The sequence below is a fragment of the Homo sapiens genome, chromosome 5 (assembly GCF_000001405.40).
Source record: "Homo sapiens chromosome 5, GRCh38.p14 Primary Assembly".
In the NCBI taxonomy this organism is placed as follows: Eukaryota; Metazoa; Chordata; class Mammalia; order Primates; family Hominidae; genus Homo; species Homo sapiens.
The window spans coordinates 32,287,047-32,301,357 of record NC_000005.10 but is presented as its reverse complement, the minus strand read 5'-3'; the positions used below and the strand labels follow the sequence as shown (position 1 = coordinate 32,301,357).

General features: G+C 46.1%; 1 protein-coding gene across 3 annotated transcripts in view, besides 3 other annotated features; it reads left to right on the top strand.

Annotated features, from left to right (window-relative positions):
• MTMR12 (myotubularin related protein 12) overlaps window positions 1–14,311 on the top strand; it is an 85,933-nt gene that overhangs the window by 11,582 nt on the left and 60,040 nt on the right. The gene's annotated exons all lie outside the window — the stretch shown is intronic.
• Window positions 3,003–3,132: an enhancer, noted in NCBI's record as "active region_22443". NCBI's record gives its function as "activates an Ori minimal core promoter by ATAC-STARR-seq in GM12878 lymphoblastoid cells {active_cell/tissue: GM12878}" and the evidence as "EXISTENCE:reporter gene assay evidence [ECO:0000049][PMID:35858748]".
• Window positions 3,193–3,282: an enhancer, noted in NCBI's record as "active region_22442". NCBI's record gives its function as "activates an Ori minimal core promoter by ATAC-STARR-seq in GM12878 lymphoblastoid cells {active_cell/tissue: GM12878}" and the evidence as "EXISTENCE:reporter gene assay evidence [ECO:0000049][PMID:35858748]".
• Window positions 10,065–10,284: an enhancer, noted in NCBI's record as "active region_22441". NCBI's record gives its function as "activates an Ori minimal core promoter by ATAC-STARR-seq in GM12878 lymphoblastoid cells {active_cell/tissue: GM12878}" and the evidence as "EXISTENCE:reporter gene assay evidence [ECO:0000049][PMID:35858748]".

The following is a 14,311-nucleotide window of genomic DNA, read 5'->3' as shown; positions in this document are numbered from 1 at the left end:
ATCTTGCTAGTTAAAGAAGGGAATCTGGGGTTCAGATCCCAGGGATGAGTTGTTTGGCATCAGCAAGTACCCCTGTTTTATCTCTGAGGGACTCCTGGGCTGGCCTCAGTGTTTATACTTTGTGCCTTCTCCTTTGATGCCCAAATGTATTCTCTTGGCCCCTCTTTTTTCACTCTTTACCTACCTACCTACCTGTCATCTGTCTGCAGCCCCCAGCCCCACCCCAGCTTGCCTAGTTTAGCTTCAAGTTCACTTGCCCTACAAATCTTTTTCTTTCTTTTTTTGAGATGGAGTCTTGCTCTGTTACCCAGCTGCAGTGCAGTGGCGAGATCTCGGCTCACTGCATCCTCCACCTCCCAGGCTCAAGCGATTCTCCTGCCTCAGCCTTCTGAGTAGTTGGGACTACAGGCGCATGCCACCACACCCGGCTAATTTTTGTATTTTTAGTAGAGATGGGGTTTCACCATGTTGGCCAAGCTAATCTTGAACTTCTGACCTCAGGTGATTTACCCGTCTTGGCCTCCCAGAGTGCTGGGATTAGAGGTGTGAGCCACTGTGCCTGGCCCCTACAAATCTCTTTATGCAGCTTTACGTTCTGGAGAAGAGAAGTGGCTGCTTTTTCTCTTTTTGTTTTAATGATCACTTTCTGCTACCTGCTGAATAAAGATGATCTATGCTAAAAGGGTGACAGGAAGAACCTGATGTACCTATAAGTAGTACCTGAGGAGCGCAGTAAGTATGGCAGATGTAATCTGGGTGGCAGACAGAGAGGGGGTATGGGAGCTCTGGGGTGCATGAGAGAGGCCCTCAGTGTGGTGAGGGTGTGGCTGTCTCTGTGTCTGGTCCTGTTACAGAGGAGCAACTGAGGAATAAACCAACCACAGTAGGAGTCTGGGGATGGAAACAAGGTGCCATAGCATTGTGGAAGAGACTTTGATTTTGCAAAGTTCTGATCCAGGCTCAGCCACTTGGTGGTGACCTTAGACATGTAACTTCACCTATCCGAGACTTCCTTTTCTTACCTGTAACGTGAATAGGTGTCTTCCCTGCAGGCTGATTTAGAGGATGAGAAGAAATAAACCATATAAACCCAGCTAAGGACTTGACACATGGCAGATACTCAACAACTGCTAGGTGCTGTTATTATTAATAACTTGAACTGGAAGATTTGTTATTTAAGCAACATTTTTATGTATCTACCATTTGCTAAGCACTATTAAAATTAGGAATGCAAAGAAACAGTCTGTGCACTCAGGAGCTTCACCTTCTCTTGGGGAGATGGCTGGTCACCAGAGTTCTCTGCACAGAGGTCGGAGCTGCCTACTTATGAGGGAGGCATGCCCAAGTGCTCTGGGGGCACAGAGCAAGACCCACTGCAGAACCCAAGGCAGCATCTGGTCTTATGCAAAAGCTGTGTAGGACTTGGAAAGGTCGACATTAAAGCGGGATTTGGTGTGGGGAGGAGGGGGATAATGTAGCAAGCAGGCAAGAGGGGTGTGAAAGGCTCATAGCTGTGTTAGGACTGGGTGACATCTTTCCCCATCTCTTATGTAAGGTGTGTGCACACATGTGTGATGGTGAGAGAGAAGTCTTGAGGAATAGAATCCAAGGGTCGCTGCTCGGACCTGCAGGAGTATCTCCAAGATTCTATGAGGATTCCTTCTTTCTGTGACATGCTGCTGTACCATAGATCAGTCTGGCCCTTAGTGAGCCTGTGGGCACCTCTCATCTGTCCCTGGTTCCTCTTGCCTTCTTCCTGCTCCAAGCCTTTTAACTTCTCCCAGCTCTTCCCCTAACTTAATGTTTATAGAGCAGTTTTGGAGGCGGTGGTAGAAGGGGAGGCACAGATGGCAATGCCATGTGTCTCTGCAGCTGCTGTCAGTCACATCCGTTAGCTTAAATCATAAAGCAGTGACAGCCCCATAACTGCCACCTGACACCTTTTTTCTGGCACTTGTACATATCCCAGCACAACAATCTTTACTTTCAGTATAATGTGGTAGTTAAGAGCATGGCTTTGGTGTCACACAGGGCTTCCTACTTGCTAATGGTGAATTTGGGCTGGGTGTTTAACTTCTCTGAGCCTCAGTTTTCTGATCTGTGAAATGGGAATAAAATAAAAGCCCGTAAGGTTGCTGTTAGTCTTAAGTGATGCAATCTGTGGAAAGCTGTTTACACAGTACCTAGCAGGTAGTGAACATTTATTAAATGTTATTTAGTTGCTATTATTCCTCACCACCCCAGAAGCTGCAGGTATGTGTGTGTGTGTGCGTGTGTGTGTATGTGTATGTGTGTGTGTGTGCGCATTCATGTGTGTGTTCTTTGGGCCACCAGTGCAGGTCCTGATTGTGGCAAGACTTGACCTCATTTCTTTCCAGCATTGTTCTTTTTTTTTTTTTTTTTTTGAGATGGAGTCTCGCTCTGTCGCCTAGGCTGGAGTGCAGTGGCGCGATCTCGGCTCACTGCAAGCTCCGCCTCCCGGGTTCGTGCCATTCTCCTGCCTCAGCCTCCAGAGTAGCTGGGACTACAGACGCCTGCCACCACGCCCAGCTAATTTTTTTTTTTGTATTTTTAGTAGAGACGGGGTTTCACTGTGTTAGCCAGGATGATCTCGATCTCCTGACCTCATGATCCGCCCGCCTCTGCCTCCCAAAGTGCTGGGATTACAGGCGTGAGCCACTGCGCCTGGCCTCAGCATTGTTCTTCTCTGGCACTCTAAGTGTGTGTCTGGAGCCAGGCATGCTGTCCCTCTTATAGGACTGCCATACCCACCATGGGTACCTTTACAGTCTACCTGGAGGGCCTCCCTTCCTGCACAGTTTTCTTTTTCAGTGAGTCGTTTCATGGATTTCCTTTCTGTCCTGTAACAGTATCTTCATCTGTCTCAAGGGCTTCTAGGAGGACTTGGGGTTTGGGCAGTATGTTAAGTCCAGAGCTTGATACCTGCAATTCAGCTTGGCTTCTCTCTCCTTTCAAGTGAGCCTTCCCAGCTTCTGCCAACAGCACCCTTCTTTCCCTAATCACTCATATGCCCAACCAATCACAGCCCCCACTGTGCCCTTTGTGGGGCCCTCTGTGGTGATCCGTCTGTGTTTCCATGGCCACCTTCTGTCTAGCATCTCCTGGTGCATGCAACCACCTACCACAAGAGCTTGACTGGCCTCTCCACTTCCCACTGCTCCCCGTCTGCACCACCCCCAGATGCCCACACACCACAGCCAGCCTTCTGCTGAACGCGGCCTTCATGTTGTCATCTTCCCATTTAAGAGCCCTCCACGCTTCTTGCCCCTTCCACTGATCCAAATCCTAACTAGCTTTCAAGGCACAGCCAAGATCCTGCCTGCTTCTGGTTCTGTTGAAGGAGCATTAGCTTGGATTTGGGAGGCCTCTGCCTCTAGCCATTTCTTTTCTTTGTGACCTTTTGCTTCCTGAGGCAGGTCCTTATCCCATCAAGCTTGCCAACCGTCTTTGGGTGTGGTTCACCGATAATAAGAGAATCAAGCCAGTTAACTGTTTGGTGAGATCAGGTCTGTGGGATCTGAGGCTTATACTGGTATTTGGGTCCTAACATTTATTTTCTAATGTAAGTTTTATTTATTTCTTTCTTTAATAGGGAGAGTTTAATGAGGTATTGGGATTGTTTAAAGGCCTAGTGAATGCCTGGTGAGAGTGATCCTTGCTAAGAATCATAAATGAGTAATGCTTTCACTGCACTTCAAGAAATGATGAGCTGTCAAAACAGAGTGAGGAATTTAGTTTGCATCTTAATGAGCAGATACTCTCTTCCTTCAAAAAAAAAAAAAAAACCTGAGGTCAGGAAAAAAGCAGGGTCTAAATGTGAAGAAAAGGATTTAGAATGGCCAAGTGAATAAGTATTGCTTAGCTGTTGGGGGTAATGAATTGTCCAAGGTCATTGCCTGTTCCCCTGCCCTGGAGACTTGTTACAACTGAAAGAACATTTGTAGGTATTACTTTGTAATAGGAAAAAAGTTGAAGATTTGTGGTTGCCTAGGGTTAGAGGTACAATGTAAACAGAGGGATTGAGTGGGGAATAACAGGTCAGCTTTGGTATGAGGTGCTTTGCCTTAGAATATTCCTTTTGGGATGATGAAAATGATCTAAAATTGATTGTGGTGATGATTGTACAACTATGAATATACTGAATACCATTTCAACACTTTATATTGTTAAACATTATATTAAATACTTTGGTGAATTACATGGTTGGTAAATTATATCTTTTTTTTTTTTTTTTTAGACGGAGTCTCGCTCTGTCACCCAGGCTGGAGTGCAGTGGCGCGATCTCGGCTCACTGCAAGCTCCGCCTCCCAGGTTCACACCATTCTCCTGCCTCAGCCTCCCAAGTAGCTGGGACTACAGGCGCCCGCCATCACGCCCAGCTAATTTTTTGTATTTTTTAGTAGAGACGGGGTTTCACCATGTTAGCCAGGATGGTTTCGATCTCCTGACCTTGTGGTCCGCCCACCTTGGCCTCCCAAAGTGCTGGGATTACAGGCGTGAGCCACCGCGCCCGGCCACTTTTTTTTTTTTTTTTTAAAGAGAATGTTTTCCTCTGTTACCCAGGCTGGAGTGCAGTAACATGATCATAGCTCACTGCAACCTTCAACTCCTGGGCTCAAGGGATCCTCCCACCTCAGCCTACTGAGTAGCTGAGACTACAGGCACGTGTTACTGTTCCTAAGTTTTTTTTTGGTAGGGACAGGTTTCACTGTGTTGCCCAGGCTAGTCTCAAACTCCTGGCCTCAAGCAATCCCCACTCCCCCACCACCTCACCCTTCCAAAGTACTGGGATTACAGGCAAAGTGTAAATCGCCATGCCCAGCCAATTACACCTTTTTTTTTCTCGTTTCTTTTTTTGGAGACAAGGTCTTGCTCTGTTGCCCAGACTGGAATGCAGTGGTGTGATCTCAGCTCACTCCAGCCTCAACCTCCTGGGCTGAAGCAATCTTCCTGCCTTAGCCTCCCAAGTAGCTGGGACTACAGGTACACACAACATGCCCAGGTAATTTTGTTCATTTTTTGTAAAAACAAGGTCTCACTATGTTACCCAGGCTGATCTCGAACTCCTGGGCTCAAGAGATCCTCCCACCCTCGGCCTCCCAAAGTGTTGGGATTACAGACGTTAGCCACTGTGTCTGACCTCAATTATATCTTAATAAAGTGTTTGTTTTTTTTTTTGAGACAGAGTCTTGCCTCATCGTCCAGGCTGGAATGCAATGGCGTGATCTCAGCTAACTGCAATCTCCACCTCCTGGGTTCAAGCAATTCTCCTGCCTCAGCCTCCCTAGTAGCTGGGATTTCAGGCATGTGCCACCATGCCCGGCTAACTTTTTTTTTGTATTTTTAGTAGAGATGGGGTTTCACCATATTGGCCAGGCCGGTCTCGAACTCCTAACATCAGGTGATCTGCCCGCCTTGGCCTCCCAAAATGCTGGGATTACAGGAATGAGCCACCATGCCCAGCCTTAATAAAGCTTTTACAAAGACAGAGTTTAAAGTTCAAAAGTGTAAGCTTGGTGTCAGAATTGATACTGAGTTCTGGCTTTACCATCTATTTAGTTCTGTGAACCTGGGTTTATTATTTAAACCCTTAGTGCTTCATTGGCCTTATCTGTAAAGTGGGGATGAAAATACCATACAGATTGTTGTCAAGATAAGTGACATAGGACATTGAAAGTGGACATAGTAAACTCCTATGACATATTTTTATGTGTTTAATTTAGGCATATATCATTGTGGATAATAGATTCGTAGTCTGAAATGCTCTGTTGAGTTTCCAAGTAGCCCTCTGAAATGAATACAGGTTGAGTATTTCTAATCTGAAAATCCAAAATCCCTTGAGTGTCATGTTTGGATTAAGAATACTCAGCTTGTCCATTTTAGGGCTGAGAACTGATTTGCATAACGCGTAAACAGCAGAATACTGAAAGACCAGGTACCAGGTTGAATTTGTGTATGTGGTTTGTTACCTTGAGACCAGACGTTGTCAGTTAGCCTCTTACTGCATGTCTGCCTCCCTGGCTTCAGATGCTGTTCTCTTGGTTTGTTGTCAGAGTAATTGTTGCTTGTAACTGCCGAAAGTATATAGCTAGTGGAATAGAGCTGTGGTCAGCAGCAAAGCTGCCTCCTGTCATGCTTTCAGAAGCATGGGGAATGAGCCTGCTAGTCAGGCCTGCTCGGAGGGAGCCAAGCCTTCTGGCCAGGAGTGGGGTACCAGCAGCCTTGGGAATCAGCTTCAGGAAACAAATCCTGTTTTGGTTTTTAGCTTCCTACAGCTGGATAGTAGATGGATTCATTCAGTCTTTAGTCTGTATTCTCAGTGAGAAAGCTCCAAATTAAAAGTCTGACCTTGGCTATGCCCCTACTCTATTAGTGAGACCAGAATGTGTTTCTGGAAGCCAGCTAAGGGAAGAATGTGACAATAGTTCGGTGATACTTGGCACTAATACACTTAGGTAGGAATTTTTAATAGAGCAATTTTGTTAATTTCACAAGAGCTATGCATAGGATTGAAGAATATTATCCGGATCAAGAATTATTGTCTCTATGTATGTTTTCATGTGTCCATTCTTTCAGCAGACTTACTGACAATTTACTGTCTTGTCAGGAATTATATGCTAGAAGTTGAGGCTAAAAATCCATAAAGGTACAGCCTCAGCCCTCAGTTTGTATCATTGGTTGGCAAGACAGACAAGGTAAGAGACTCTTGCAGTTCAGCGTGAAAAGTGCTATGCTTGGCCAGGTGCGGTGGCTCACACCTGTAATCTCAGCACTTTGGGAGGCCAAGGTGGGCAGATTACTGGAGGTAAGGAGTTCAAGACCAGCCTAGCCAACGTGGTGAAACCCTGTCTCTACTAAAAAAAAAAATTAACCAGATGTGATGGTGGGCACCAGTAATCCCAGCTACTAAGGAGGCTGAGGAATGAGACTCTTTTGAACCTGGGAGGCAGAAGTTGCAGTGAGCCAAGATTGTGCCACTGAACTCCTGCATGGGGGATAGAGGGAGACTCTGTCTTTAAAAAAAAAAAGGAAAAAAGGAAAAGTGCTGTTCTGGAGGCATATACAGAGTGTGGTTTGGGTATCTAGCAAAGGGGCACCTCAGTGTTCTGATGGAGAGAGTTTTGACCACAGAAAGCCTCACAGGACCTGAACTGTGTGGACAGTGGATTTGACAGTGAGTTGGATGGACAGGAGTGGAGACAGTGGGTTGGGTGGTCCCAGAGGATGCAGTAGGGGCCAGTTGGAGGCAGTGCGACTGGCAGTCGGGAGCATGCGAGCTAGGAAATGATGGTGGCCCAAAGTCAGAGCGACAACAGGAATGGATAGACGTGGGCAATATGGAGCAGAGCACAGGCTGTGAGAGGCAGGGAGTAGGTAAGAGTGACTCTCAGGTTTCTGGTGTGGCCAGCTGGATGGCTGGTCCTGAACCAGAGCTCAGAGCATTAGATTTGGCAAGGGGTGGCGATGAGCTGATTTTGAAATGTCAATTTGAAGGATATGAGGGACATTCTGGTGCAGGTGGCCAGGAGGCTGTTGAGGTGTCCAGGCCTACAGCTCTGAAGGCAGATCTGGAGTGAAGTACCACTTGGGGATCATCAGCCTATACTGTTGAAACACCTTTGAGTGAGAGAGCTCATCCAGGGAACACAGGGTTTGTGAGGAAGTAAGAGGACCCTGCCCAGAAGGGAGACTTGACCAAGAAGAGCCCGAGAAAGTGAGTGTTAGCCTGTATTAGGATTCCCTAGAGGGATAGAACTAATAGGATATATATCTCCTATATATATCTGGAGTTTATTAAGTATTAACTTACATGATCACAGGGTCCCACAACAGGCTGTCTGCAAGTCTGAGGAGCAAGGAGAGCCAGTCAGAGTCTCAAAACTGAAGAACTTGGCGTCTGATGTTTCAGGGCACGAAGCATCCAGCATGGGAGAAAGATGTAGGCTGGGAGGATAGGCCAGTCTCGCCTTTTCACCTTTTTTTTGCCTGCTTTATATTCACTGGTAGCTGATTAGACTGTGCCCACCAGATTAAGAATGGGTCTGCCTTTCCCAGCCCACTGACTCAAATGTCAATTTCCTTTGGCAACACCCTCACAACCACACCCAGGATCAATATTTTGTATCCTTCAATTCAATCAAGTTGACACTCAGTATTAACCATCACAAGTCCACCCCTTGTCAACTTGAACCCATACACATCTCCTGAGATCACACATAATCTTCAAATAAAGACAATAGTAAGGTCATAATTACGCCTAACATAACACAACTATCCTTCATACAACTGGAAACTCACCAATCCCCAACCCAAATACCATTACATAAAGTTAACAATACTTAAATGCTGATATGAAGTCAATAAATCTTATATGATAAAGGAAAAGGAAATAAAACATGTATATATGCACAAACATGTTTTTAACAAAAGAAGGAGGAAATACTCATGACAATTACAGTTCTCATTTCTGCAGCTGGTCACGTGGTCGTAGCTGGTATTGATGACTGCCTTCTTCTACTACTTATTCTGTATTCCCTTTGCCTTCAGCAAACACCTCAGCAGGTCGTGGTTTTTTTTCCCTAGTGGAGTGACCCAAACCTTTATTCCTGAGGGGTCTGGACCATTTGTAGTCCTGCCTGGACTGGGCTGTTGTCGTTTCCCATTGACCTTAATTGCAGGGCATGGTAATACTAAGAGACGCCCTAATGGATCTCCTGTATTCCATGCATACTCTTCCTTACCTCCATTATGGAGAGTAGACTGTTTTCATTTTGATAGTCCAGGTCAGTCACCCCGGCCAACACTGTAACTCCCTTCTTAGCCTATTGACTTAAAGGTAGGAGGGGCCCAAAGTGTCCGGGTAGCAATCTTAACTTCCAGTTTAATGGAATTGTTGTGTCTCCTGGTGGCAGCGTTCCTCCCTCTGGAACTAAGACCTCTAGACCAGCAGAAGATAATGTTGCAGGAACAGGAGGCAAAAATTTTGCTAGTGGATCACTAGGGGTGATGGTGAGTGGTGCCACTTCCACTTCCACCCTTTAATTCCTGGACCCGTGAATCCTGGCTATGGGAGAAACAGTACCATGTATTGAACGCTGATTCAGAGCATACATGGCCTTCTAGAGAACTTTGCCCCAGCCCTGCAAATTATTGTCACCTAGCTGGCATTGTAATTGTGACTTCAAAAGGCTATTACACCATTCTGTCAATCCAGCTGCTTCAGGATGATAGGGAACATGGTAAGACCAGTGAATTCCATGAGTACGAACCCACTGCCGCACTTCTTTAGCCGCAAAGAGAGTGCCTTGGTCAGAGGCAATGCTGTGTGGAATACCATGATGGTGGATAAGGCATTCCGTGAGTCCATGGATGGTAGTCTTGGCAGAAGCATTGTGTGCAGGATAGGCAAACCCATATCCAGAGTGTGTATTGCAGTGAAGACAAACCTCTGCCCTTTCAATGATAGAAGAGGTCCAATATAATCAACCAGCCACCAGGTAGCTGGCTGATCGCCCTGAGGAATGGTGCCATATCGAGGGCTCAGTGTTGGTCACTGCTGCTGGCAAACTGGGCACTCAACAGTGGCCGTAGCCAGGTCAGCCTTGGTGAGTGGAAGTCCATGTTGCTGAGCTGATGCGTAACCTCCATCCCTGCCACCATGGCCATTTCGTTTATGGGCCCATTGTGTGATGACAGAGGTGGCTGGGGGAAGAGTCTGAGTGGTGTCCACAGAACGGGTCACCCTATCTACTTGATTATTAAAATGCTCCTCTGCTGAGGTCACCCATTGCTGAGCACTCACATGAAGATATAAATATCTTCACAGTTTTTGACCACTCAGAGAGGACCATCCATATAACTCTTCCCCAAATTTCTTTGTCACCAATTTTCCAATCATGCTTCTTCCAAGTCCCTGAACATCCAGCCAAACCATTGGCTACAGCCTATGAATCAGTATATAATCGGACATCTGGCCATTTCTCTTTCCATGCAAAATGCACAACCAGGTGCACTGCTCAAAGTTCTGCCCACTGGGAAGGTTTCCCTTCACTGCTGTCCTTCAGGGATGTCCTAGAAAGGATCTGTAGTGCTACAGCTGTCCACTTTTGGTGGTGCCTGCATGTCTTGCAGAACCATCTGTGAACCAGGCCCTAGTTTTCTCTTCCTGTCATCTGATCATAGGGAACTCCCCATGAGGTCATCGGTGCAGGCTGGGGAACAGAAGGTACGGTGGCAGGTGTGGAGACCATGGGCATTTGAGCCACTTCCTCATGTAACTTGTGCCTTCAAGATCTGCTCGAGCCCAGTCATGTGTATACCACTTCCATTTGATGATGGAATGTTGCTGTGCACGACCCACTGTATGGCTAGATGGTCAGAAAGTGCCCAATTCATGATGGGCAGTTCAGGTCGCATGGTGACTTGACCCATAGTCAAACATTCAGTTTCTACCAAAGCCCAGTAACGGGCCAAGAGCTGTCTTTCAAAAGGAGAGTCGTTATCTGCAGAAGATGGCAGGGCCTTGCTCCAAAATCCTGGAGGCCTCCACTGTGATTCACCTATGGGGGCCTGCCAAAGGCTCCAAATGGCATCCCTATCTGCCACTGACACCTCAAGCACTATTGGATCAGCTAGGTTTTGTGGCCCAAGTGGCAGAGCAGCTTGCAAAGCAGCCTGGACTTGTTACAGAGCCATCTCCTTTTCTGGACCCCACTCAATAAATGGGTCACTCAATAAATGGGCTGGAGTAACACACTCAAACGAAGAATATGTTGCCTCCAAAATCCAAATAGGCCCACTAGGCATTGTGCCTCTTTCTTGGTTGTAGGAGGGGCCAAATGTAGCAACTTATCCTTCATCTTAGAAGGAGTATCTCAACAGGCCGCACACCACCGAACCCCTAAAAATTTTACTGAGGTAGAAGTTCCCTAAATTTTAGTTGGATTTAGTTCCCATCCTCTGACATGAAAATGTCTCACCAATAAGTCCATTGTGTTTGTTACTTCTTGGATAATGTCATCAATGTAATGGACCAGTGTGATACCTTGTGGAAGCAAAAAGCGATCAAGGTCTCTTCAAATAAGATTATGACACAAAGCCAGAGAGTTGATATGTCCCTGAGGTAGGACAGTGAAGGTATATTGTTGGTCTTGCCAGCTGAAGGCAAATTGCTTCTGGTGGGCCTCATGGACAGGAATGGAGAAAAAGCCATTTGCCAAGTCAATGGCTGTATACCAGGTACCAGGAGATGTGTTAATTTGCTAAAGCAATGAAACCACATTTGGTACAGCAGCTGCAACTGGAGTCACCTCTTGGTTAGGCTTATGAGAATCCACTGTCATTCTGCAAGATCCATCTTCTGCACAGGCCAAATAGGAGAGTTGAACAGGGATGTGGGAATCACTACCCCTGCGTCTTTCAAGTCCTTGATGGTGGCATTAATCTCTGCAGTCCCTCCAGGGTTGTGATACTGTTTTCGATTTACTATTTTTCTAGGTAGAGGCAGCTCTAACGGCTTCTGTTTAGCCTTTTCCACCATAATAGCCCTCACCCTACCAGTTAGGGAACGAATGTGGGGGTTCTGCCAGTTGCTAAGTATGTCTATGCCAATTATGCATTCTGCCACTGGGGAAATAACAGGATGAGTCTGGGGGCCCACTGGACCCACTGTAAGTCAGACCTGAGCTAAAACTGCATTAATTACCTGACCTCCATAAGCCCCTACTTTAACTGGAGGACCACAGTGACACTTTGGGTACCCCGGAATCATTGTCAGCTCAGAACCAGTGTCCATTAGTCCAAATGTCTGATCATTTCCCTTTCCCCAGTGCACACTTACCCTGGTAGAATGTCAGAGGTCTCCTTGGGGAAGGATGAGAGAAAGATCCACTGCGTAAATTGTTGGTAATGTGGTGGGGTCCTTCCTCAAGGGGACCCGGCCTCCCCTTCCTTCAAGGGGTTCTGGGTCTGTAAACTGGCTCAAGTCTGGAAATTGATTGAGGGGCCGTGATTCTCTGTTTTTATAATTCAAACTAGTCTTTTGTGCATTAGACCTGGAAGTTTTCTGTTTATATAAATTAAGTAGGAATGCAGTAGGCTTCCTATCAGTTTCACTTCTAGGAACAGCATGATTAATTAGCCAATGCCAGAGCTCTACGTGAGTCAGACTATTCTGATTGCTGCTTTGTCTCTACCATCCATTACAGTAGCTACGAACACCTTGTCTTTGACAGTTGAGTGCCGCCACTTGGCCCCTGCCACCTAGGGATCCAGTTATTCCCATTGTATTTAAATTTTGTAGTTGAGTGATTGCAGTTCCCACTGTTAGATTTGACATACAGAGACAAGCAATTACAGGGCTCTTCAAAGATGCAGATGCTGCCCTCACAAATCTGTTTTGCAAAGCATTGGTCAAGGATATATCTTCTGGACCCTCCCAGCTGGGATGAGTAGGTCTAAAGTGCCTAATCCACTCCACCATCCCAATCTCCCTAAGCCTTTGGATCCCTTACTCTACATTAAACCAAGGGAGATCAGGCATTTCCAGCTCACTCATAGTGGGCCATCTTTTAATCCATATTTCAGCTAACCAAGCACATAAACTATTAGAACCTTTTTTAACTCCCCGAGCTGCAACATTAAAAGCAGAGTCCCTACTTAGTGGGCTCAAATCAATAAATTTAGCCTGATCCAACTCTATGTTCCTTCTACCATTATCCTATACCCTTAATATCCATTCCCATGCCTATTCTCCAGATTTCTGTTTATATAAATTAGAGAACTCAAGCAGTTCTTTTCAAGTGTAGCGCACCTCATCACGTGCCACAGTCTCAACCTCACCTCACCTGCTGGGACTTTAGTCCAGTTATAGGTCTAGAAGCAAACAGGGGTGTTGGGGGTGACTCCTGAGGAGAATCAACATTATCTTGCCTGGCAGCTGCCTCAGGGGAGGCCATCAGTGTTGCCTCAGGCAGTGCAGAGTTTATCTCAGACAAAGGTGGAAAGGCTGATGGCAGTATGGGTTAGGGAGGGGATGTTGCCACTACTGGGGATGGGGAAGCTGTTCCTTCTGGCAAAAAAAGTTCATCAGAGTTTACAAGCTCAGTGTCCCCAGCTTCATCAGGGTCCTCCCACACGTTCCCATTCCAAGTTGCAGGGTCCCATTCTTTTCCCATGAATGCCTTCACTTTAACAAAAGACACCTGGCGAGGCTGTGCATGCACCTTTTGTTGCAGGTCAGCCACTCACATGATAAGAGCTTGTATCTGTTTTTCCACAATTTCAGCTCTTTCTCTGCCAGAGATAAGACTCTCACTCAGGACAGTCTTAGCAGATTTGAGGCTCGGTGTCTGCTTCTGAAGGGAGATTCTACCCAGGAGGTAGAATCCCTGAGTTCGTCATTTTCATTCATCACTTTGTCCACTGAACTTAGGAGCAACCAACCAGCTTCATTATGTCCCTTGGTTCTCCACATATGGTCAAAGGTATTATGTATAGAGTCACTAAACTCCTTGCCTCTCATGAGCGATGAATCAGGAGTGTCAAATGTGTTTGTTTTGCATAACTTTCTAAACAGTTCATGCCAAGGACTATCAGTGTTCTCTACTTCCATTATCAGTGGAGGCCTTAGCATTTTTGGGTCTAATCATATTAAGCAGCCAACTCCAGAAACCCCACGACAAATGAAAGAATGCCATCCTTACTATTCTGTTCCTCTAGAACCACTCCTGGTACCAAAATCCGTATTAGGGTTCCTAGATGGACAGAACTAACAGGATGTATGTATGTATGTGTATATATATAAAGGGGAGTTTATTAAATATTAAATTACATGATCACAAGTTCCCACAGTAGTCTGTCTGCAAGCTTGAGGAGCAAGGAGAGCCTGTCAAAGTCTCAAAACTGAAGAACTTGGAGTCTGATGTTTGAGGCCAGGAAACATCCAGCACAGGAGAAAGATGTAGGCTGCGAGGCTAGGCCAGTCTCACCTTTTCATGTTTTTCTGCCTGCCTTATATTCACTGGTAGCTGATTAGATTGGTCCACCAGATTAAGGCTGGGTCTGCCTTTCCCAGCCCACTGACTCAAATGTTAATCTCCTTTGGCAACACTCACAGCCACACCCAAGATCAATATTTTGCATCCTTTAATCAAGTTGACACTCAGTATTAACCATCACATGGCCATTCTGCCTGGAACTAATTTCTGCTCATTTTCAGGTCTCAGTATAAATAACACTTGCTGAGTGCAGCAGTCTTCTTTGACCCTTTCTGAATGCAGTTCAGTGTTTC